General features: G+C 40.5%; 2 protein-coding genes and 2 pseudogenes across 27 annotated transcripts in view, besides 4 other annotated features; 2 read left to right on the top strand and 2 right to left on the bottom strand.

Annotated features, from left to right (window-relative positions):
• Positions 1-22,316, bottom strand: part of ACSM3 (acyl-CoA synthetase medium chain family member 3) — a 123,177-nt gene that overhangs the window by 54,602 nt on the left and 46,259 nt on the right. For 6 of the 25 annotated variants that reach the window (XM_047434427.1, XM_024450368.2, XM_047434419.1 and 3 more), the window contains one exon: positions 11,241-13,750. The exons of 8 other annotated variants lie outside the window; for them this stretch is intronic. The gene's annotated coding sequence lies outside the window, so the exon portion shown is untranslated. Of the gene's footprint in view, positions 1-197; positions 1,076-11,240; positions 13,751-22,316 lie in introns of those variants that run through there. 11 more of the 25 variants (XM_047434435.1, XM_047434421.1, XM_047434424.1 and 8 more) reach the window with 6 other exon arrangements.
• Positions 1,087-1,356: an enhancer, noted in NCBI's record as "active region_10538". NCBI's record gives its function as "activates an Ori minimal core promoter by ATAC-STARR-seq in GM12878 lymphoblastoid cells {active_cell/tissue: GM12878}" and the evidence as "EXISTENCE:reporter gene assay evidence [ECO:0000049][PMID:35858748]".
• On the top strand, positions 1,162-9,316 carry THUMPD1 (THUMP domain 1 NAT10 acetyltransferase adaptor). 2 transcript variants are annotated; one of them, NM_001304550.2, is made up of 5 exons: positions 1,162-1,471; positions 3,909-4,083; positions 5,024-5,272; positions 5,694-6,120; positions 6,622-9,316. In NM_001304550.2, exons 1-4 carry the CDS (start codon positions 1,241-1,243, stop codon positions 6,098-6,100), a joined length of 1,062 nt encoding a protein of 353 aa, NP_001291479.1. In that variant the 5' UTR covers positions 1,162-1,240; the 3' UTR covers positions 6,101-6,120; positions 6,622-9,316. The 2 variants fall into 2 exon arrangements, with proteins under 2 accessions (NP_001291479.1, NP_060206.2); NM_017736.5 differs by having other exon boundaries at positions 5,694-9,316.
• Positions 1,367-1,416: an enhancer, noted in NCBI's record as "active region_10537". NCBI's record gives its function as "activates an Ori minimal core promoter by ATAC-STARR-seq in GM12878 lymphoblastoid cells {active_cell/tissue: GM12878}" and the evidence as "EXISTENCE:reporter gene assay evidence [ECO:0000049][PMID:35858748]".
• Positions 1,717-1,856: an enhancer, noted in NCBI's record as "active region_10536". NCBI's record gives its function as "activates an Ori minimal core promoter by ATAC-STARR-seq in GM12878 lymphoblastoid cells {active_cell/tissue: GM12878}" and the evidence as "EXISTENCE:reporter gene assay evidence [ECO:0000049][PMID:35858748]".
• Positions 1,887-1,976: an enhancer, noted in NCBI's record as "active region_10535". NCBI's record gives its function as "activates an Ori minimal core promoter by ATAC-STARR-seq in GM12878 lymphoblastoid cells {active_cell/tissue: GM12878}" and the evidence as "EXISTENCE:reporter gene assay evidence [ECO:0000049][PMID:35858748]".
• The window catches only part of LOC100887080 (acyl-CoA synthetase medium chain family member 4 pseudogene), a 21,565-nt pseudogene continuing 9,238 nt past the window's right edge, over positions 9,990-22,316 (bottom strand).
• The window catches only part of LOC124903661 (NADH-ubiquinone oxidoreductase chain 5-like), a 21,663-nt pseudogene continuing 19,475 nt past the window's right edge, over positions 20,129-22,316 (top strand).

Here is a 22,316-nt window from a genome sequence, read left to right as displayed (position 1 = left end):
GACAGAGCGAGACTCCATCTCAAAAAAAAAAAAAAAAAATAGACAAACATACAATACCTTTGGGGGTAAACAACCTTTATCCCACGTAAATGGCAATGCAGATATAATAAGCAAATGATATAGTAAGCAAATTGCAATGGGAAGGGGAGAAGGGAAAAAAAAAAAATATATATATATATATATATATTTACACGCACCAGACTATGTTGGATTCATCACCAGACCGGGAAGCAACAGCCTGGGCTCCAGAGTCAGCCACTTGTCCGTGCACAGAGGAGGAGGGGTCTCAAGAAGCTTCCGTGTGGCCTGGGACCCTGGCTCATTTTTTTTTTTTTTTTGAGACAGAGCCTCGCTTTGTTGCCAGGCTGGAGTGCAATGGCACGATCTCGGCTTACTGCAACCGCCGCTTCCCGAGTTCGAGTGATTCCCCTGCCTCAGCCTCCCGAGTAGTTGGGACTACAGGTGCGCGCCACCACGCCTGGCTAATTTTTTGCATTTTAGTAGAGATGTTGGTCAGGATGGTCTCCATCTCCTGACCTCGTGATCTGCCTGCCTTGGCCTCCCAAAGTGCTGGGATTACAGGCGTGAGCCACCGTGCCCGGCCGACCCTGGCTCTTTTTGTAATGCGTTGATTGGCATGAGGCCCAGTCACGAGGGCCCTTCTCGACTGGGCTCAAGGAACACATAAAGGTCAACTTGTTTCTGTGATTGTCTGTTTTTCAATAACTCAAGTACAGGTACAGAGTTATCTGTAACAGTGCTGGATGAATGAATGCCTCAAGGGGCTCATGCAACCTGTTACGGGACTTGACCATTGTGTCCACGTTCAATTGAGTTCAAATTTAATATTTAACTTTTCCTCCACAGTAGCTGGCAGAATTATAGGGAAGGCTGGAGGAACAGGTACCAAGGTTGGGTGGAAGAAGCTATATGGCTGGAGCCAGCTTCAAGGGCTTGAGGAGCCACCGACACCACTTCCAGAATGGCTGCTATGCTGCCTCTACTGGATTCAGGTTGCAGTCGGGAGGCGGGGCAGGAGGCGGGGCTTGGGCGGGTATCACTCCACCCCTTTCACGATTGCAGACCGGCCTTAGGACCTGGCGCAGCACGGAATGAGGCTTCGAGGCCGGCTAGGGGAGGCCGTCGCTCATATCCGACGTCACCAGTTCGCGCCGGCGATAGACGAGGACGCCAACAGCAGCGGAGAAACGTTTCTCTTTCCTCTCAGTTTGCGCACACCATGGCGGCCCCTGCCCAGCAGACTACTCAGCCTGGCGGCGGGAAGCGCAAAGGCAAGGCTCAGTATGTGCTGGCCAAGCGCGCTCGGCGCTGCGACGCTGGCGGGCCCCGTCAGCTAGAGCCCGGGCTACAGGGCATCCTCATCACCTGCAATATGAACGAGCGCAAGTGCGTGGAGGAGGCCTACAGCCTCCTCAACGAATACGGCGACGACATGTATGGGCCAGAAAAGGTACCGGTCCCGGGGTGGGCGGGCGGGCCGGCTGCCAGGCCTTGCGGGAGGAGGGAAGGGTGGAGGGATGGCTGCTGGTATGGGCATGCGCGCCTCGGGTCGTCGGCGTGACGGCTGTAGGGGCGTGGCCTCGCCGGCGTTTCCGTCCCTAGTCCTGAGACGCTCGCAGACTTCGGTGCTATCGGTTTTGTGCTTGAAGTGCTTGCACCTTTTCTTGCCATCAGTAACCACGGTAGCTCCCATTACTTTTATTTTTATTTTTGTGAGACAGGGTCTCGCTCTGTTGCCGAGGCTGGAGTGCAGTGGCGTGATGATAGCTCAGGGAAGCCTCGACTTCTCCTGTCTCAGCCTCCAGAGTAGCTGGGACTATGAGTGCGCGCCACCACTCTCGGCTAAGTTTTGTAAATTGTAGATAAGGGGTCTCACTGTTTGGCCCAGGGTAGTCCTAAACCCTACACTCAAGCGATCCTCCCGTCTCTGCCTCTCAAGGTGCTGAGATTACAGGCGCGAGCCACTGAGCCCGGCCTACCTCCCACTTAAGGATTGCTCATTGAGGGCCAGGCGGTGTGCTGAAGCTCTTTCAGAAACACATTTTTCATGACAGCCTCGTGAAGTTGGAGTAATAATGTGTTTACCTGAAGCAATAATATTTCTGAAATAATAGGTTTACTACTAATGCTAGTTACTGCACTTAAAATACATTTTAGAACGTAAAAACTTTTACCAATATCACCTAAAGTCTTAGTGTTTGGAAATCATATTACTGGCTTAGAATCTGGACCAATACACACACGCACACTGAGGGATTAAATGAAGAAGGGTAATACAGAGGGAATTTAAATTCACGGCTCATCCTCTACTAGCTTGGGGACTCGGACATGGGCACATTATTTGATGCTGCTGAGCTAGATAAAAAAGAGAATACTTTAAGACTGGCTAGTGAGTTGCTTATGTACATAAAATACATACTGGTATGTAATAAAGTTTCTGTAAATGTATACAATTATTATTGTGCCTGACTGGCAATTTCGTTGGGCACTAGGGGGCAGAGAGCTGGGCAACAAGCACATATCCTGTCTACTCCTGTACTTTAAGCAAATTCTTTTTTTGGAAGCGGTCTTGCTCTGTCACCCAAGGTGGAGGTTGGAGTACAGTGGCATGCTCTTGCTCACTGCAACTTCCACCTCCGGGGCTGAAGCAGTCCTCCTGCCTCAGTCCCCGAGTAGCAGGGACTGCAGGCATGTGCCACCATGCCCGACTAATTTTTTGTATTTTTTGTAGAGACGGGTTCTCAGGCCATGTTGTCCAGGCTGGTGTCAAATTCCTAGGCTCAAGGGATCCGCCCACCTCTGCCCCCTAAAGTACTGGGATTACAGGCATGAGCCACCATGCTTGGCCAAAATTATTGAACAATGTATTTCTGTGCCTTGTTCCTTAATAGAACAAGAGTAAGGGTTTTTAATTCCACAGGTATTTGGTCTAATCTCACCAAAAGGACAGTGTCGTGTGAGGCACACAGATACCTGGTCAACGTGTTAAGGTCCACCCTAAAATGATTGATCTGGTCAGCACGTTTCTCTCTGCCTCAAACTGTCAGGATGCTTTTGAAAACATTTTCAAATTTTACATTCTATAGTCTGCGGGAATTCCCTCTTCCTCCACATTTTTTTTTTTTTTTTAATTTTTTTGAGACAGAGTCTTGCTCTGTCACCCAGGCTGGAGTGCAGTGGTGCAATCTCAGCTCACTGCAATATCTGCCTTCTGGGTTCAAGCGATTCTCCTGCCTCAGCCTCCTGAGTAGCTGGGATTACAGGCGTCTGCCACCACATCGGGCTAATTTTTGTATTTTTAGTAGAGACAAGGTTTCACCATGTTGGCTAGGCTGGTCTCGAACTTCTGACCTCAGGTGATCTGCTTGCCTCTGCCTCCCAGAGTGCTGGGATTATGGGCATGAGCCACCACTTCCGGCCTTGCTCCACGTTTTGAAGGGTGTGGTGTCCCAGCTTCGTAAAAAAAGCTTTATTATCAATACTGAGTCAGCTGGGCATGGTAGCTCACACCTGTAATCCCAGCACTTTGGGAGGCTGAGGCGAGTGGATCACCTGAGGAGTTTAAGACCAGCCTGACCAACATGGCGAAACCCCATCTCTACTAAAAATACAAAAATTAGCTGTGTGTAGTGGCATGCGCCTGTAATCACAGCTACTTGGGAGGCTGAGGCAGGAAAATTGGTTGAACCCAGGAGGCGGAGGTTGCAGCAAGTCAAGATCGCACCACTGCACTCCAGCCTGGGAGGCAAAGCGAGACTCCATCTTTAGAAAAAAAAAAAAAATCAATACTGAGCCACCTGCCGCCAGGGACTTCACATAAATAATTACTTATAGTGTTTAAATGTGAGCTGTTGTGTCATTTCTGCTCATTAGTTTTATGCAAACAGTTTACAGACAAGGATCAGCAGCCCTCTGGAAGTGAGGGAGAGGATGATGATGCGGAGGCTGCCTTGAAGAAAGAAGTTGGTGACATTAAGGCATCTACAGAGATGAGGTTAAGAAGATTCCAGTCAGTGGAAAGTGGAGCAAATAACGTTGTCTTCATCAGGACACTTGGGATAGGTGTGACAAATACTTGCTAAGATTATCGATCTCATAACATCTGGGTATCTTCCTGTCTCAGGGAATACTGCTTACAAAATGGCTTCTTGGGCATGACTCAGTTAATCATTTGATGGCAGCTTCTGTACACTGTATTAGCAGTTGGCCTGTGGAGAGGTAGAATGGGGTGGTGGACGTAGCATTGGCTTATGAGTGGAAACCTGGCTTTGCTGCTTCCTTCGTATATAACTTAAGGCAGAACTAGAGTGCCAGTTCTGTGTAAATAAGGGGCAGCTGCTACTCAGCTCCAGCCAGTTGTTGCTCTTTGGGAATGCAGGGCCAGGTATTTGAATTTCTCAAAAGAAGTTTGAAATCTGGAGTTTTTTTGTTTTTCAGTGTGGTCAACTAATTTACAAATTTTCGGAGCAGCCCCAAATATACTTGTATGTAGGCAAGTTGCAGCCTGAGGACCTCCCTTTCATGATGTTGTGCCCAGCATGGTTCTGGGATTCCTCTTGGGTCTGAGATTTAGACTTGTGTGCTAACTTAGCTAATGGATTAATTACATCTTTTAAAGTGACTCACAGAATTTTTTTTTTTTTTTTTTGTAAAAAAGTGTGTACTGTTTAATGTACTCTGTTGTTACAGGAAAACAACAGCATGGTGTTACGGTTGGATAACTCAGGACATCACAAAAATGTTAACAACGGTGTCTACCTAAACAGTCATTTCTAGTGCAAGCAGTAATAATGATGAAAAGTTAAAATATATTAGATACATTATAGTACGTATTAGGCACTGAAGAAATACTGTTTGGAAAGAATGACTAGGTAGATTCATTTAAAATTCATTATGAGAATTTCTTCTGTCAACTTATGTCATTGCCAGTGAAAATTCATTTTAGAGTTCGATCTTTAAGATGTCTGAGAAATTATCTTCTTAACTTTTTTTTTTTCTTAAGAGCCTGAGAAATTGGTGCATCATATTCTCCAGGATATGTACAAAACCAAGAAAAAGAAGACTCGAGTTATTTTGCGAATGTTACCCATCTCAGGCACATGCAAGGCTTTTTTAGAAGATATGAAAAAATATGCAGAAACATTTTTGGAACCCTGGTTTAAAGCTCCAAACAAAGGGACATTTCAGATTGTGTACAAATCTCGAAATAACAGTCATGTGAATAGAGAAGAAGTTATCAGAGAATTGGCAGGTATGTTTCTCTTAGTGATTTTCCATAGGCATTCAATGGTAAATACTTGTTTTTTAAGGATTTTTTTCTTTTTAAAGATTTAAGGCTTACATTTTTGAGTGTAGAACAAATATATTAAAATGTTCTTAAAATAGTATTAAATCAACTGATTTCAATATGTCGGATATGAGATTTTCTGGTAGTTAGATAAAAGTCTTTTTTAACTCGAAATTGAATTTTGTTTGGAAAAAAATTCTTATTAAATGTTGTAGGGTTTCATTTGTGTTTATTTATTGTAAGGGTTCAGATTATTTGAAGTCCACATAGAAGAGTGGATTACTGTATGTCTTGTTTTAACAAGAAACAGAGACAAAAGATTTTTTGTATCTATCAGATGTAATGGTATCCTCCTCAGCTATGTGTTTTTCTGTTTTTGTTACAGGAATAGTGTGCACCCTCAATTCAGAAAATAAAGTGGATCTCACCAATCCACAGTACACAGTGGTAGTAGAAATCATCAAAGCTGTCTGTTGCCTGAGTGTTGTGAAAGATTACATGTTGTTTAGAAAATACAATCTCCAGGAGGTGGTGAAGAGCCCTAAGGATCCGTCACAGCTTAACTCAAAGCAGGGAAATGGGAAAGAAGCTAAACTGGAATCTGCGGACAAATCAGACCAAAACAACACAGCAGAAGGAAAAAATAACCAGCAGGTACCAGAGAATACTGAGGAGCTGGGGCAGACAAAACCAACGTCTAATCCACAGGTGGTAAATGAGGGAGGAGCCAAACCTGAACTTGCAAGTCAAGCCACAGAAGGATCCAAGTCAAATGAAAATGACTTCTCATAGGAAGTCATTTGGTGTTGGAGGTGGGTTTCTCACCTGGGGCTCTACGAGATGTTGCTGGGGCTCCACCTTAAATTGTGACTAAAAACAGTTTTTTATTTGTGTGCTGCATTATGCTGTTCTCACAGTAGTGAGCAATGATTGCGCAGCCCTGTTAACAGTTTTTTTAGGGATCTTTCAGCCTTTATGGTATTACGTAGAGGCAGACCCATGTGCTGCTGTTGCAAAGAGGGGAGGATAGGAGGGGGATGTTGGCCTCTCCCAGGCTCCTCTTCTGCAGTGCCAGCTGACTTAAGGGAGTGAACTACCTGTGAAGTAGAAAATCAGAGGGAAGTTTTCATTCTAAGGAAGGAGTTTTTACATGCCACAGCTCAGCTGTCTGCCTGCCACTTTGTTGTAAACATTGCAAAAATGTGGATCATGTAGGTTAGAAGTGAATTGTTTAGTGAAGTTTTTGTACTTTTGTGATTTTCTTGTTTATGTCTGTTTTTTTTTTTTTTTTTTAACATTTGTGTGTAATATAGCTGACAGTCCAGTGTCGCAATTTTGGAAGGCAAGATGTGAGAGAGACGAGAACCATTTTAGGCATAGAACTACAGACATTTCTGAAAAGGTTGGTGATGAAGAACTTCAGTCTTCTGAGTATACTTCAGTATACTAGTGCAACAAGGGACACAAAGAAATTCTGTCTTAATAAAGAAAGCTACTTCTCAAGGGTATTATGTGGACTCAGTCCAAGCTCTCCTGTCCCATTGTGCATTGTCTGTGACATGCAACTTACAAAACTAGCAATTGTAACAATAAATCACAGCCACTTGACAAGAAAGGATATTCATTATTTTCAAATGGCTTTTGGACTATCAAAAACAGTAAGGCTTTTGTTCAGAAATCACCTTTAGTCAAAAGGTTTAAGAAGCAAATTATTTAGTAGCAGAACTTATCTCAGGAAAGGAAAATATGCATGGTTGGTGAGAATCTAATAACATTAAAATGCTGGGGCAAGATGCAGTACAAAGTTGAAGAGACTTTATTCTCAATAAGTTGATTTACTGATGATATGTCATATGATGCAAAAAAGGTTTTGTGTCATTAACTGAAAAGTAGCAGCTTCTCTATCCAGGATGATGAGTCAACAGGTTTCACTAATATTTGTCATGCTGTAGCATTTGTAAGATTTGTAAATGATGAAATTCAAAGAAAACTTTTTCTATTGCTAGGAGCCTGCCAGAACAAAGGCCAATATATAATGTTGTGACATCATATCTGATAACCAGAGGTCTGGTATCTACACTCCTGGTGCCCCATCAGTGGTTGTCTCCATAAGTCATTTTGCGTTATTAAAAAAAAAAAAAGAAATCCTGATGTTGACATTATAGCACACTGCTTTCTCCACAGAGATGCTGATATCAAAAACTTGAAGATACAGTGAAGTTCTGAATAATGTTACAAAACTGGTTACCTGTATCAAAGACCCATTTATGCAAAAATGTTAAAAAAAAAAAAAAACACCCAAAACAAAAACCTGGACAGACAGCACATAAACCTCCTGCACCATACAGACATCCAGTGGCTTCTCAGAGGAAGCGTTCTCTACAGGATATTTGAATTGAAAGGTGAATTGCCAGAGTACTTACAATAAAACAGCCAGCTTTTGCTGAGTGCTTTGGAAATGAAAAATGACTACAGAAAGTAGCCTATTTTGCAGACGTTTTTCATCACATGAACAAATGGACAAGTCTCTGAAAGGTTCTGGGGAAAAAAATTTTTCTTAAAGCGACAAGACTCTTAGATCTAAAAGGAAACTGACTTGCCACCTTGCCAGAGGAATTCTTGAAATGTTTCTGCAGCCACTTGGCCTTGAAAATAAAGGGTGCAACTCTCAAATCTTGTTCTAACCCGGCTGGAGGAACCACAAGACCCAATGAAATAGCATTTTCTCTCCTTTTCCCAGCACTAGTATATAACCTATGAGGAACCCTTGTCTCTGAATCTGCTCAGCTTGAAATTTTGTCTCTGAAGGAAGAGAATGAACTCAGCCCTAGTCTGACAGTCCTAGATTTCTGTGAAATAAGAGTATTCTTCAACTTAGTGCTCACACTCACATACCATGAGGGTTCTCTGCAGGGGTTTAGGGGTTTCCTGAATTTGAAAGTTTTTTCAAGGCCTCTTTTTGGGTAAAACAATTGAAAAGGCAGACACCAACAAAGTCTGCAAAATTAACTGTCCAGATTAAGAATATTAAGGAGCTGTAAAATTAGCTTGTAGAAATGGACTTATCCTTAAGTTTTAAAAAGTTAGGAAATCCTAAAAATGTTAGGCTTCCTGCACAAGTGGCTATGTTCATTTAATGGCTAGTGAACATGGGAATGTATTTTTATCCTCCTAGCTGGTGGTTCTGTTTGGTAAACCAGACTAGAATGATTTGAGAGGGGCAAAGAGAATAGGCAGGACCTTCCTTCTATAGCTTTACATATTTAGAATGTTAATACTTAATGACATTGAAGTTACCTTGCAATGATTGATAAGAGGATTATTAATATCAGTTAGGGGAATAGGGAGGATAGGATTTTGGTGCCTTCTTCAGCAGACTTGCTCCAAGACAAAGATTCTATTTTGATAGTGCAAGACAAAAGGACTCGGAAGAAAATTGGCCATATGCCTACAGAGCATACAACTCTGTGGAACTAAATTGTTTTTACTTTGTGAAAGCTGCTATTTTACGGAAAGATTTTGATTATACAGTTTGTTTTTAAATTGTCTTTTATATTTATTTGTATTTGGTAAGAATCGGTTGTTACACAAGCTGTTCTTTCCCAGTTACAAAATCCTGTGTTCGGTTGTAACCTGAACTCATTAAAAGACTTGTTTTCAGGTTTATCAACTGTTTATTTTCACTGACATTTGAGCATGTTATTTTATAAATGACGGGATTCCAGGGTAGGAAGTGCTTTTTATTCCCCTTTTGTTTTTTCTTTTAAAAAATTACGTCAGTTAAAAAAATAAAAAAACTGCAGTCTTATGGTTTAGAAAACTTGTTTAGCTCCATAGAGGAAAGAATGTTAAACTTTGTATTTTAAAACATGATTCTCTGAGGTTAAACTTGGTTTTCAAATGTTATTTTTACTTGTATTTTGCTTTTGGTACGGCCAGAAATCGAGCTTGTTTTTTCATAGTTCCTGATATTTTCAGAAAAATCAAAATAAATTTGTTCCCTAAAAATTGGTGTTCTAATATTTTTTCTTTCTTTCTGACTCTTAGTAAATCTCTTGCTTTATAGTATATATATATCATAAAATATGTTTATATGTCAAATTATAAAATGCCATGGACATGAGCCTAAAAAACATTAAAAAATTATTACCCTTGAATAATTAATACTTCTAAATCCAAGTTTCAGATATTTTACAGTTAATTTGCTTCAAAATGAGCCATAGTAATACAGTACTTACTTTCATTAAATTCACTTACTGATTTTTGAATTATTTATACTCATTTTAACAGTATTTTAATATATTGAAGTTTGGTCTCATAAAGTTGTTAAGTAGAAGAAATTGTCTTGAACATTTAGGATATATCTTTATTTTGAATTAATCAGGCACAAGATAGATGAAATACAGATTCATTGTGCACTTTCTTTTTCTAAGTAATCATTTGACTCCTGCAATTTTAAACACTAGAAACCATCATTACCTTTGTCAGTTTGGTTATTGAAACAATTTTCATCCATATATTTTTAGACTTTTATTTACTTTTTAATTTTTTAGCTAAGTAGAAAACAAAAACTTAAACCAGGAAGGATCTTAAACATTTTAAGAGAGTAGTCACTGAATTATCAGGAACAAATCGAGAAAGCAATCATATTACTACTTAACCCTTCAGCTTTTTTATCAAGCTATGTTCGTCCCTATTCTTGGTCTCTTAAAACGTGTTTGATTCTCCCAATGATTGTCTTTGGGAGTTCTTGAACAAATTCCACCTAATTGACGGAAAAACGTTATGAGACATTTGATTCCGTTTTTCCAATTGTCAGTGCAATAGGAGAGAGCTTGCATGAAACTCTGAGACTGAATTTTAAAGTCTAGATTATCTTAGCCTAAGCTTATTGAATCTCATAGACACCAGAAACTGTTCTGTTTGTACAGGAAGGGTGACAGTGTAGCTCCATCTTGGGGGTTTTTAGTGCAAATTCACTTAAATGCTTTGCCACAAGAAAGTAATAATCCCTTTACCCCATTGCTTTCCCCTAGTTCAAACTAGTCCTAGGTCTCTACTGTTCTAGAAAGTGGAGACTTCACCTAAATGCAAAAAGAACACTTAGTTCTTGTCTTTGCAGAGCTGGACCCTGGAGATTGGAGAAGATTTTTTAGGCATAATTTGGAATATATACAGTTTTCTGCCCTGACTTGACCATAAAAATCCTCTTTTTATTCTCTTCTGTCAAAATAAGACGACTACTGTATTTTAAAATGTCCTCAAATAGCCTTTCTGAAAGTCAAAAGTTCATTAATTTAGTGAATGTAATGGAGAAATTGTTGAATAGTTCTTAGGTTGAAATTTACTACCTTTTGACTGAAATGATGCTAACTAAAACAGAAATTTCATGCAGAGGATCAGTCAGTATCAACCAATTCCATGGTTAGAAGGAAACTACAGGGCCATCTTCATGTCTTTATATAGTATTTTTCTTAAATCCTTATTTGATGAAAGTTTCAGGAAAGATTTCATGGTTTCTTTGGGTATTCTTTCTGAATATTAATGGGGTCCCTTGATACATACAGGTATGTTCTTTGAATTTATATGGGTATTAGGGCCAAGAGTCCTAGGATAGATGAGTCAAGTGCTGTCCCTAAAAACAAGGCAGTTGGCCATTCTTGGCCACTGTGCTTTTCTTATACAGAATGGGACAAATTATTTCTAGAAAGAATCTTAGTAGTGATTCAGTATTGCAGAGTTGATTAAAGGCTCTAGTTTATAATGCATTTATACTGTTCTAACAAAACATTTTCAAGTTCTTAGGGCTAAACAAAGGTGCCCTCTACCTATATAATGAGCTACTATAAAGTCAAAATCCAGTAAAATCTACATTTTAGCTTAGGTCTTAGTTTGGTAACATCCAAACTTAACTTTTGGACAAAATACTTACTTTCTTGGATATTTGTAAGGTGCAGTTGATTTTTTTCACATGATCCTGAAGCTCAAGAGTTAATTTCTCTAGGCTGTAGGACTTACAGGATGGAGCTAAGACAACAAAAGCTTTCACCACCTGCAACAGATAATTTATCTTGCTCTGTTTTTCAGACACATCAAGGATCTGCAACCAATGCTGAACATAGGTACTTACTGTTTGTTAATAGCAGTTTGAGTGATGACTGCAAATGCCAGAGATTGCTTCTGAACAAAGCTTGGATACAATTACAAAGTGAGGTTTTGAGAATAATTCCAGGTAAATGGTTTGTGAGTATGAGGAGTGCAGCGGTTCAAGAAAGCTAAGTTCTATTTACAGGTCACACATGTATTTAACATTTCAGAGTGATCCCATTTATTTCACAGGCAGTCTTTGCTTTATAGATGACCACTTACTCCTTCGAATCTATACCACTAGAAGCATGTACCAGGGGGACAAATGGAGCTCCCAGAGAATATGTGGTTTCAAGGGAGTTTGAAGAGTCTCAATGGAGGAAGGACTGTGTATCCTGGGAGATCAAATCTCAGGAAGGGGCTGAGTGTAGTGGCTTACACCTATAATCCCACAACATTGGGAGGCCAAGGTAGAAGGATAGTTTAAGCTCAGGAGTTTGAAACCAGCCTGGTCAACATAGTGAGACCCCATCTCTATAAAGACTAAAAAGAAAAAATTAGCCAGGGCACGATAATGCACATGTGTAGTCCTAGCGACTCAGGAGGCTGAGGCGGGAGGATGCTTGAACCCAGCAGTTTGAGGTTGCAGTGAGCTATAACTGCACCACTGCACTCCTGCTTTTTGCCTGGGTGACAGCAAGTCTCCATCTCAAAACAAAACAAAATGAAACAAAAAACTCTCAGGAAAGATTGATCTATCTCTATAAGGTCGTTTTTTGCCTCATATTGTTTGCTTCTCTTTGTAATACTGTTTAAAACCTACCAATTAGATAATTACTGAGGTTAGTAAGCATAATTTATATTATTCATTGATTCTAATTGGTGGTTACTTCTGCTCTTCAGCTGAAATCATTTATATTGAGAGGATGAGAACATGGCAGCAGGAGGAAACTATTTCTGAGAATGGAATAAATGGGAGTGGAGGGGGTATAAGAGGTAAGAGTAGGGGACCCATAGTGTCACTGCAGAGGCTCACTGGTGTGTGAGAGGGAGGTACAGATGTGGGAGGATGCTGAGAGACAAACTTTTGAAATTTTGTCACTTGCTGTGTCTGTAGGAAACTTCCATGAGGAAAGGAAATTAGGAAAATTGGGCTTCTTCCTAGAATTAAGACTATTATTGTCATTGCCAGAGTTTCCTTCCCATTGGTCCTAAACAGGCTCATGAGACTTGTTTGGGAAACTGGCCACAATTTTCTATCTGCCTTGTTTCTGTGAGAAAATGTATTCTGAGTTCCATGACAGTTGTCCATTCAGTGAAATCTGCTGCCTATTCAGTGAAATCTGCATATGCTTATGCAGTATCTGTTCCCCCTTTTTAGTAGCTACTGTAGTTTTTCCTATAGAGTATTACCCTATCCTCTCTGGTGGGATTGACACCAACCCCTACCTCCAATGATAGACATATGATCCAAGTCTGGCCGATCAGCATATATCATTCCCTGAACCACATTGGTGAGAGATGTGATCTAAGGTAGGCAAATGCAGTCCTGAGAGTTACTTGAAATGACTGAAAAGAGAGCTCTGTCCTTTCCTGGAGGGGTGGAGGATTGTTAACCTGTGTAAGTCTGGAGTTGATTGCTATCAAATAGGAAGAACCTGCTCAAATGGAGCCAGCATAAAGAACAGCAGAGCCAAAAATGGAGAGAGACTAAGACTTGCCAACCTTACATGAACCCTTGGATGTGGCTGTACTTGAATACTTGTCATTTATATGAGCCAAATGTCTTTTTTTTTTTTTTAACTTAAGGCAGTTTGAGTTGAGTTTCTGTCACTTGCCTTCAAAAGAATCCTAATAGCTCCCCTTTGGGACACGACTTATTGTAAAGTTGGTTGCCTGGTTTATATTTTGGCCAAATGCATGCCTCATAGTGAGAATTAAATGACCACTTTTGGTTCAGCCTTTACCATGGTCAAATGGACAGAACTCAAAAATATAAAGTTGCTACTTTAATTAATGATATTCATCTACCTCTCCACAAATTGGATATGGACTACTGACAACAGCTGATTTGACAACTGCTGGATGCTCAGCAAGCACACTCTCCACTTCAAATGGCCCAATACGGTACCTGAAAAGGAAAAGAAGCCTTTGACCACCACATCCTCCAGTAGGAGAGCTCCCCCCCTGTCAATCCTTGCCTCTTAAGAGTGGCAAATCTACAAACCCAGAGGAAATAATGACATCATCAGCTCTGCCGACAAACCAGAAATACCCATCACTGTCCATCATTCCTCTGTCTCCAGTGACATAAAAATCTCCCCTTACCGTGGCAGCAGTTTTCTCTGGACTGTCCTAGGAATCAAAGATGACATTTGGGGATTAGTTTGGTCAGAACAGAAATGGGTATAACACTCATTAAGTGACAAGTACATTACAAATTGTACTTCTAAAGGAAATTATTTATTTTATATTTTGAGACAGAGTCTCTTTCTGTTGCCCATGCTGGACTGCATTGGCTTGATCATAGCTCACTGCAGCCTTGACCTCCCAGGCTGTAGCAATCCTGTCGCCTCAGCCTTCTGGATAGCTGGGACCACAGGCATGTGCCACCACACCTGGCTAATTGTTTTATGTTTTTGTAGAGACGGGGTCTCACTATGTTTCCCAGGCTGGTCTTGAACTCTTGGGCCCAAGCCACCCTCCCACCTCAGCCTCCCAAAATGTTGCAATTACAGTATGAGCCACTGTCCCTGGCTGGAAATTAATTTTTTAAAAAAGGTAGTTCCTAGTATAAGATATAAAAGGTCCCAAATAGTATAATAAAAAGCCCCTCTTCCACCTCTAGCACCCCCCAACTGCACCCCCATCCTACCCTGTCCAGTTTTCCTTTCTGAGGATAACCACTGCAACCAGTTTGTTACATTTGGAATTTCATCTTTATAGTACTCAGGTGATAGGTGATAGTCTCTGCATTTTACTGCTGATGAAATAGATTTTGTTGCTTGCCTGAGGTTACATAGCAAGACATGGTGGAAATGAAATTTGGACCAAAGTCTGTATTAAGACATGACTAGCACTTTCTATCCTCATATCACATATTCAGAGAAGAAACAGAAGGGCTGTGTAGACTTTAGTCTGAGGGCAATTTCCCCTTCTTTGCCAGGTGGTAGAACATTGCCATTTTCATCTATAATCTAGAATGAAAGAAACAATTGATTTTCTTAAAATTTTCTTTTCACAAAATGAAAGCAGGTTGTAAATAGTTGTACAGTGAATAGCAGAAAACTGTAAAACGTTCTTTCTGCTTTATTGAACCGGTCAGATATTTTCTCAACCTACCTGGACATCATAGTGAAGCATTCTTTCCCCATTGAGCCTGGTTTAATTTTTTGTCCTTTCTGATTGGCACAAATTATTCCCATTGAGAGGACAAACTTTGCATAAGTAGACAAAAATTCATTTTCTGAAACTATATCATGACAATGAAACTTAAGATTCAGTTTGGACTGATTTTCCCAGTATTTAAGCACACCTTCTGAAATATACTATTTGAGACCAGTAGTTCTCAAACATGGGTGTGCTTTAGAATCAAATTGGAGATTCTGGAGCATTGTTGAAACACAGATTTATGGGCCTCATCCCAGAGTTTCTAATGCATTAGGTGTGGAGTGGAGTCCAAGAATTTGCATTTCTACCAAATTCCCAGATGATGCTGATGTTGCTGGTTTGGGGACCACTGGTCACTTTGAAAACTACTCCTTAGACTCCATTAAGTGCACCCTGGAATAAATTCCCCACAGAGGCTCTCAGATGATTCTTCCCAGCACAGTTGGAGAGATGAGCTGCTCAGTTCTGAGCCTCACCCACCTGCTAAAGCCCCTGAGATTTCTCCTGCATGAGGGGGAGGCAGGAATGATGGAATAATAATCATCACCCCTTTAGCAAAACCTAACTGAGCAGTTTGCAAGTTTTGGTAACTACTGGCAAGATGAGGTATACTGGGAAACTGTAAAAATTTAGAGTGGGATGGAGGCACTTCAGGGGCTCAGGTTGAAAATCCTGGGGCAGAAAGGCCCCCAAATATACTAAACATAAATGTTGCCCTTTAAATATACCACTTCCGTCTGTCCATAGCTCTCATGTAGCTCCAGCCCAGTTTGTGCCCTCCACTGCTCCAGCACCTCCGGGGTGAGGGCCTCCCCTCCTGTCAAGCAGTGCCGCAGCCTCTTGAATTTATATCTGGAGAGACAGAGTTGCATGGGGCCTTTTTGAGAGGAACCTGAGTGCTTTCCCTGCAAGATAATTAGGACATTCAAGCAGCAAGCATAGAAGCTAGGAGAGGCAAGTCTTAGGAAAGTTCATTCAACAAAAACTTGTTGAACACCTACTGTATTGTTAGACATTGTTCTAGGCATATGGGGCACATTAGTGATTATAACAAAAATTTCTGACAGCTTACATTTTAGCAGATGGAGGAGAACTTAGCTATTAAAGATGTTAAAAGGTGGGAGAAAATGCTATTAATGATACTAAGTGCTTATTACAAGCCACATGATATAACAGCTAATACTGATTGAGCAGTTGCTAGGTTATAAGGGCTTTAGAAGCATTCTTAGACTCCTCTCAACCCCTACTTTACACATGAGGACATTGAGGCTCAGAGAGTTTAAAGAACTTGCCCAAGGCCTTCCAAATAATAAAGGGCTGAGTTGATACTCATGATACTCTGTACCAGGCACCTCCCACTTGTCAAGGTGATCTCACCAAGCAAGTCACTTACATTAAATTCTCACCACAGCCTTGTGAGGTGGCTCTTAATCCTCTCTTATAGATGGAGTTGATGGAGGCTTAGTAAGGATATCTTGAGTGTCCAAGGCCACACTATTAGTAAGTAGTAGGGCCCTGCCTGTTTGATTTTGAGCTTAGCTTTTAACCACTGGCGTTACTGAAGACAGGTGAGAAAGCCTAGAACAGCTTGCTTCTCAAACACTGAGGCCCCAAATGAACCAGAGGATGTGGGTAGAATACAAATCATATGCATTCAGAATAATCGTTGAATAGTCCCTGAATTACTATTGAAATGTGAGCAAGATGCTCACATAGGACCAAAGGCGTTGACACTGACTAGGGAAAGAGAAGATTTGTATTTGCATTATTCTGTCTTGCATAGCACTTTCCCTCTTGGGCATCCACACTTTGTTGGCAAAAGAGGATGGACAAGCCTGCACTTCTTAAATTGCTCCTCTCTTCCTTTCTCTCCTCATGTATTGAGTTTGAATTAAACAAATATACATTGTAACTCTACTGGATGTTCATGTAGTTTGGCTAAACTGAATATAACCTTCAAGTCAAACTTTGTTAGCTTCTCTTCAAGGCAGTATAAATATGCTTTTCTTTCTTTTTTGAGGGCTGGTTCTAAATGACAGTGTTTCTAAAAAGTAGTACTAGAGGATAAATTTTTTGAGGGGGAGTTCGGGGACTATAGAGCTCTGGTTGTTCCTGGAAAAATGTCCAGTTGTCCTAGAGGATATTCCGGTGGTTTGTAGACTAGGGGACAATTTTGCCCCCCAGGAGACATTAGGCAGTGTCTAGGGACTTTTTTTTTTTGGAAATGGAGTCTTGCGCTGTTGCCCAGGCTGGAAGTGCAGTGGCGCGATCTTGGCTCACTGCAACCTCCACCTTCCGGGTTCAAGCGATTCTCCTGCCTCAGCCTCCAAAGAGGCTGGGATTACACGTTGTGTGCCACCACGCCTGGCTAATGTTTGTATTTTTAGTAGAGACAGGGTTTTGCCATGTTGGCCAGGCTGGTCTTGAACTCCTGACCTCAGGTGATCTGCCCGCCTCAGCTTCCAAAGTGTCGGGATTACAGGTGTGAGCCACTGTGCCCAGCCTAGGGACATTTTTGATTGTCGCAGATGGTGGGGAGGAGGTGCTACTGGCATCGAGTAGAGTCTTGGGATGCTGCTCAATATCCTGTAATGCATATGACAGCCCCCTCGATGACACAGAATTATTGGTTCAAAATGTCAGTAGTGGTAAGACTCAGAAAGTCTGGGCTGCCCTGTGCTGAAAAAGGGAGATCTGTGATGCTGGATGGTAGCTATCATTTGTGGTTCAAGTGGAAATTTCTGCCCAAGTACCTCTTAAGGTCTTTTTGTAGAAGCATCCAGTACATGGTGGGAGGGCTGCACAGGGTTGTGATGGGATAAGTGGTAAGTGTCTGGATGATGGAGAAAGACACAGAAGTCAGAAGCGGTCAATGAAAGGCTATGACTGGAGCTGATATCTACACCCTGTCATTCCCTTCCATTAACATGTGCCCATCCCGTGGTCACTACTAGGAATAAGAAAACAAATATTTATTTCTGAGGGCTCTGTTCTGTTCCATTGGTCTATATCTCTGTTTTGGTACCAGTACCATGCTGTTTTGGTTACTGTAGCCTTGTAGCATAGTTTGAAGTCAGGTAGCGTGATGCCTGCAGCTTTGTTCTTTTGGCTTAGGATTGACTTGGCAATGCGGGCTCTTTTTTGGTTCCATATAAACTTTAAAGTTGTTTTTTCCAATTCTGTGAAGAAAGTCATTGGTAGCTTGATGGGGATGGCATTGAATCTATACATTACCTTGGGCAGTATGGCCATTTTCACGATATTGTTTCTTCCTACCCATGAGCATGGAATGTTCTTCCATTTGTTTGTATCCTCTTTTATTTCCTTGAGCAGTGGTTTGTAGTTCTCCTTGAAGAGGTCCTTCACATCCCTTGTAAGTTGGATTCCCTTGTAAGTTTATTCTCTTTGAAGCAATTGTGAATGGGAGTTCACTCATGATTTGGCTCTCTGTTTGTCTGTTATTGGTGTATAAGAATGCTTGTGATTTTTGCACATTGATTTTGTATCCTGAGACTTTGCTGAAGTTGCTTATCAGCTTAAGGAGATTTTGGGCTGAGACGATGGGGTTTTCTAGATACACAATCATGTCATCTGCAAACAGGGACAATTTGACTTCTTCTTTTCCTAATTGAATGCCCTTTATTTCCTTCTCCTGCCTGATTGCCCTGGCCAGAACTTCCAACGCTATGTTGAATAGGAGTGGTAAGAGAGGGCATCCCTGTCTTGTGCCAGTTTTCAAAGGGAATGCTTCCAGTTTTTGTCCATTCAGTATGATATTGGCTGTGGGTTTGTCATAGATAGCTCTTATTATTTTGAGATATGTCCCATCAATACCTAATTTATTGAGAGTTTTTAGCATGAAGGGTGTTGAATTTTGTCAAAGGCCTTTTCTGCATCTATTGAGATAATCATGTGATTTTTGTCATTGGTTCTGTTTATATGCTGGATTATGTTTATTGATTTTCGTATGTTGAACCAGCCTTGCATCCCAGGGATGAATATCTACAACTACCTGATCTTTGACAAACCTGACAAAAACAAGCAATGGGGAAAGGATTCCCTATTTAATAAATGGTGCTGGGAAAACTGGCTAGCCATATGTAGAAAGCTGAAACTGGATCCCTTCCTTACACCTTATACAAAAATTAATTCGAGATGGATTAAAGACTTACATGTTAGACCTAAAACCATAAAAGCCCTAGAAGAAAACCTAGGCATTACCATTCAGGACATAGGCATGGGCAAGGACTTCATATCTAAAACACCAAAAGCAATGGCAACAAAAGCCAACATTGACAAATGGGATCTAATTAAACTAAAGAGCTTCTGCACAGCAAAAGAAACCACCATCAGAGTGAACAGGCAACCTACAGAATGGGAGAAAATTTTTGCAACCTACTCATTTGACAAAGGGCTAATATCCAGAATCTACAGTGAACTCCAACAAATTTACAAGAAAAAAACAACCCCATCAAAAAGCAGGTGAAGGATATGAACAGACACTTCTCAAAAGAAGACATTTATGCAGCCAAAAAACACATGAAAAAATGCTCATCATCACTGGCCATCAGAGAACTGCAAATCAAAACCACAATGAGATACCATCTCACACCAGTTAGAATGGCAATCATTAAAAAGTCAGGAAACAACAGGTGCTGGAGAGGATGTGGAGAAATAGGAACACTTTTACACTGTTGGTGGGACTGTAAACTAGTTCAACCATTGTGGAAGTCAGTGTGGCGATTCCTCAGGGATCTAGAACTAGAAATACTGTTTGACCCAGCCATCCCATTACTGGGTATATACCCAAAGGATTATAAATCATGCTGCTATAAAGACACATGCACACGTATGTTTATTGTGGCACTATTCACAATAGCAAAGACTTGGAACCAACCCAAATGTCCAACAATGATAGACTGGATTAAGAAAATGTGGCACATATACACCGTGGAATGCTATGCAGCCATAAAAAATGATGAGTTCATGTCCTTTGTAGGGACATAGATGAAGCTGGAAACCATCATTCTGAGCAAACTATCGCAAGGACAAAAAACCAAACACCGCATGTTCTTACTCATAGGTGGGAATTGAACAATGAGAACACTTGGACACAGGAAGGGGAACATCACACACTGGGGCCTGTTGTGGGGTGGGGGAGGGATAGCATTAGGAGACATACCTAATGCTAAATGACGAGTTAATGGGTGCAGCACAGCAACATGGCACATGTATACATATGTAACAAACCTGCACGTTGTGCACATGTACCCTAAAACTTAAAGTATAATAATAATACTAATAAAAAGAAAACAAATATTTATTACTTGTCACTAATGACTGTATGTCTGTTGGGAATTTCCAATTGCTGGAAGGAATGTATATATATTAATCTTACAGTAACAAACCTACAGAATTGAATTCAGCAAGTGAATTTGAGAACAACCCAAAGTATGAACTGGTTTATTCTTCCTCAGGGCTGCAAGTTACCTTTCATGGTGGAATCTTGTAACCTCTTGCCCACGTATTCATGTATAGTATTGATTATGGATGTATAAGTTAAACTACTGGAACCTTTCCACTTCTATTTCTATGAAATATATCAGTTTTTTGAGTAAGTTGAGTAAATGCAGAAATCAGCACTTTTTAGGTTTTTTCTTAATTTTTAAACATTTGCTGGGCTCATTATTCTTCCATAAGATAATGGCCTAGACATCTTAAATCTAGAGAAATACTAATGTTTTAGAGCTCCTCCTTCTGGAGAAGTTCCACTATGTCCCTTAAAAGTGTGCTAGAACTGCTAACTCATGCCACCATGTTTAATAACATGGCTTTCTCAACTTTTAAAGGATAAGAGTCATCAGTTGGTCTTAGGAACCAAAAACATTGTTGCAACTCCAAATAAAAGTAACAAACATGCATTCTTCCACTATCACAACAGCCCTAGTCCCCTTAATCTTACCAATTATTGTTACCTTAACCAGCACATTTAAAAAAGGCTCATACCCCAATTATGTAAAATCATCTCTCACATGTCCCTTTATCATCAGCCTTATCCCCACAACATTTATGTGTACAGACCAAGAAGTCATTGTCTCAAACTGACATTGAATGAGGATCCAGACCCTTAAACCCTCACTAAGCTTTAAACTAGACTACTTTTCTACAATATTTATCCCAGTAGCACTATTTGTTACCTGATCTATTATAGAATTCTCAATATGACATATAAACTCAGACCGTAACATCAATCACTTTTTCAAATATTTAGTTATTTTCCTTATCAATAACAGTACTCATTCTGGTTACTGCCAACAACCTCTTTCAGCTCTTCATTGAATGAGAGGGTGTAGGAATTATATCTTTCCTACTAATCAGCTGACGATACAGCTGAGCTGATACTAATGCAGCAACCCTCAAGCAGTCCTGTACAATCGTATCAGTGATACTGACTTTATTCTAGCTATGGCATGATTCCTCCTGTCCTCCAACACAAGAATTTCAACAAATATTTATTCTAAATCCTACCCCCAACTCCCTCCCACTGGTTAGCCTTCTCTTAGAGGCAGTAGGAAAGTCAGCCAAATTGAGCCTCCACCCCTGACTTCCCTCTGTCATAGAAGGTGCAACCCCAGTCTCAGCCCTACTCTGCTCCAGCACTACAGTTGTAGCAGGAGTTTTTCTACTCATCCTCTTCCACTCTTTAATAAAAAGTAATTTATCAATCTAAACCCTTACATTATGTCTCAGGGCTATTACTACCCTATTTACAGCAATCTGCACCCTAACACAAAACGATATCAAAAAAAAATCATAGCATTCTCCACCTCAAGTCAACTAGAATTTATAATAGTCACAATTGGCATTAATCAACCACACCTAGCATTTATTCACATCTGCACACATGCCTTTTTTAAAGCTATACTATTCATATGTTCTAGGTCCATCATCCATAGCCTCAATGATGAACAAGACATCCGAAAAATAGGAGGATTATTCAAGCCTCGCCCCTCACTTCCTCCTCCCTTGTGATCGGCAATCTCGCACTTACAGGTATACCTTTCCTCACAGGCTTCTACTCCAAAGACCTCATCATCAAAGCTGCAAACACATTGTACACCAGCACCTGAGCCCTTTTTATTACTCTTTCACCACTTTCTTAACAGCTGTCTATAGTACCCATATTATTTTCTTCGCACTAAATAGGACAACTTATTGGTAATTTGTATTAAACTTAAGCATTTGTGAGGAGGCTCAAATTGGATGTCTGGGCTATCTGGATTGTCATAGTTAAAGAAAAATGTTTAATCTGTAAGTCAGCATTTTTACCATGTGTATCTGCTCCATGGATTCTAATTGTTTTTATAAAGTGTAATGTATATATCTAAGAATAGTATACATCTATAAAGGTTTTTATAGCACTTGAAATACACACATGATCTTTGTAAAATAAAAATCTTCTTATTTTACAAATGTAGGTTTTGAAACTGCAAAGTTAACTTACCAACTTTAGGGCACTTTGTAAACCTGA

The sequence above is a fragment of the Homo sapiens genome, chromosome 16 (assembly GCF_000001405.40).
Source record: "Homo sapiens chromosome 16, GRCh38.p14 Primary Assembly".
Lineage (NCBI taxonomy): Eukaryota > Metazoa > Chordata > Mammalia > Primates > Hominidae > Homo > Homo sapiens.
This window is presented reverse-complemented; position numbering and strand designations above follow the sequence as displayed.

Coding starts and splice junctions, on each gene's coding strand:
- THUMPD1 (NM_001304550.2), top strand. CDS start 1,241: ATGGCGGCCCCTGCCCAGCAGACTACTCAGCCTGGCGGCGGGAAGCGC. Junction 1,472..3,908: donor ACATGTATGGGCCAGAAAAG/GTACCGGTCCCG, acceptor TTATGCAAACAG/TTTACAGACAAGGATCAGCA. Junction 5,273..5,693: donor AGTTATCAGAGAATTGGCAG/GTATGTTTCTCT, acceptor TTTTTGTTACAG/GAATAGTGTGCACCCTCAAT.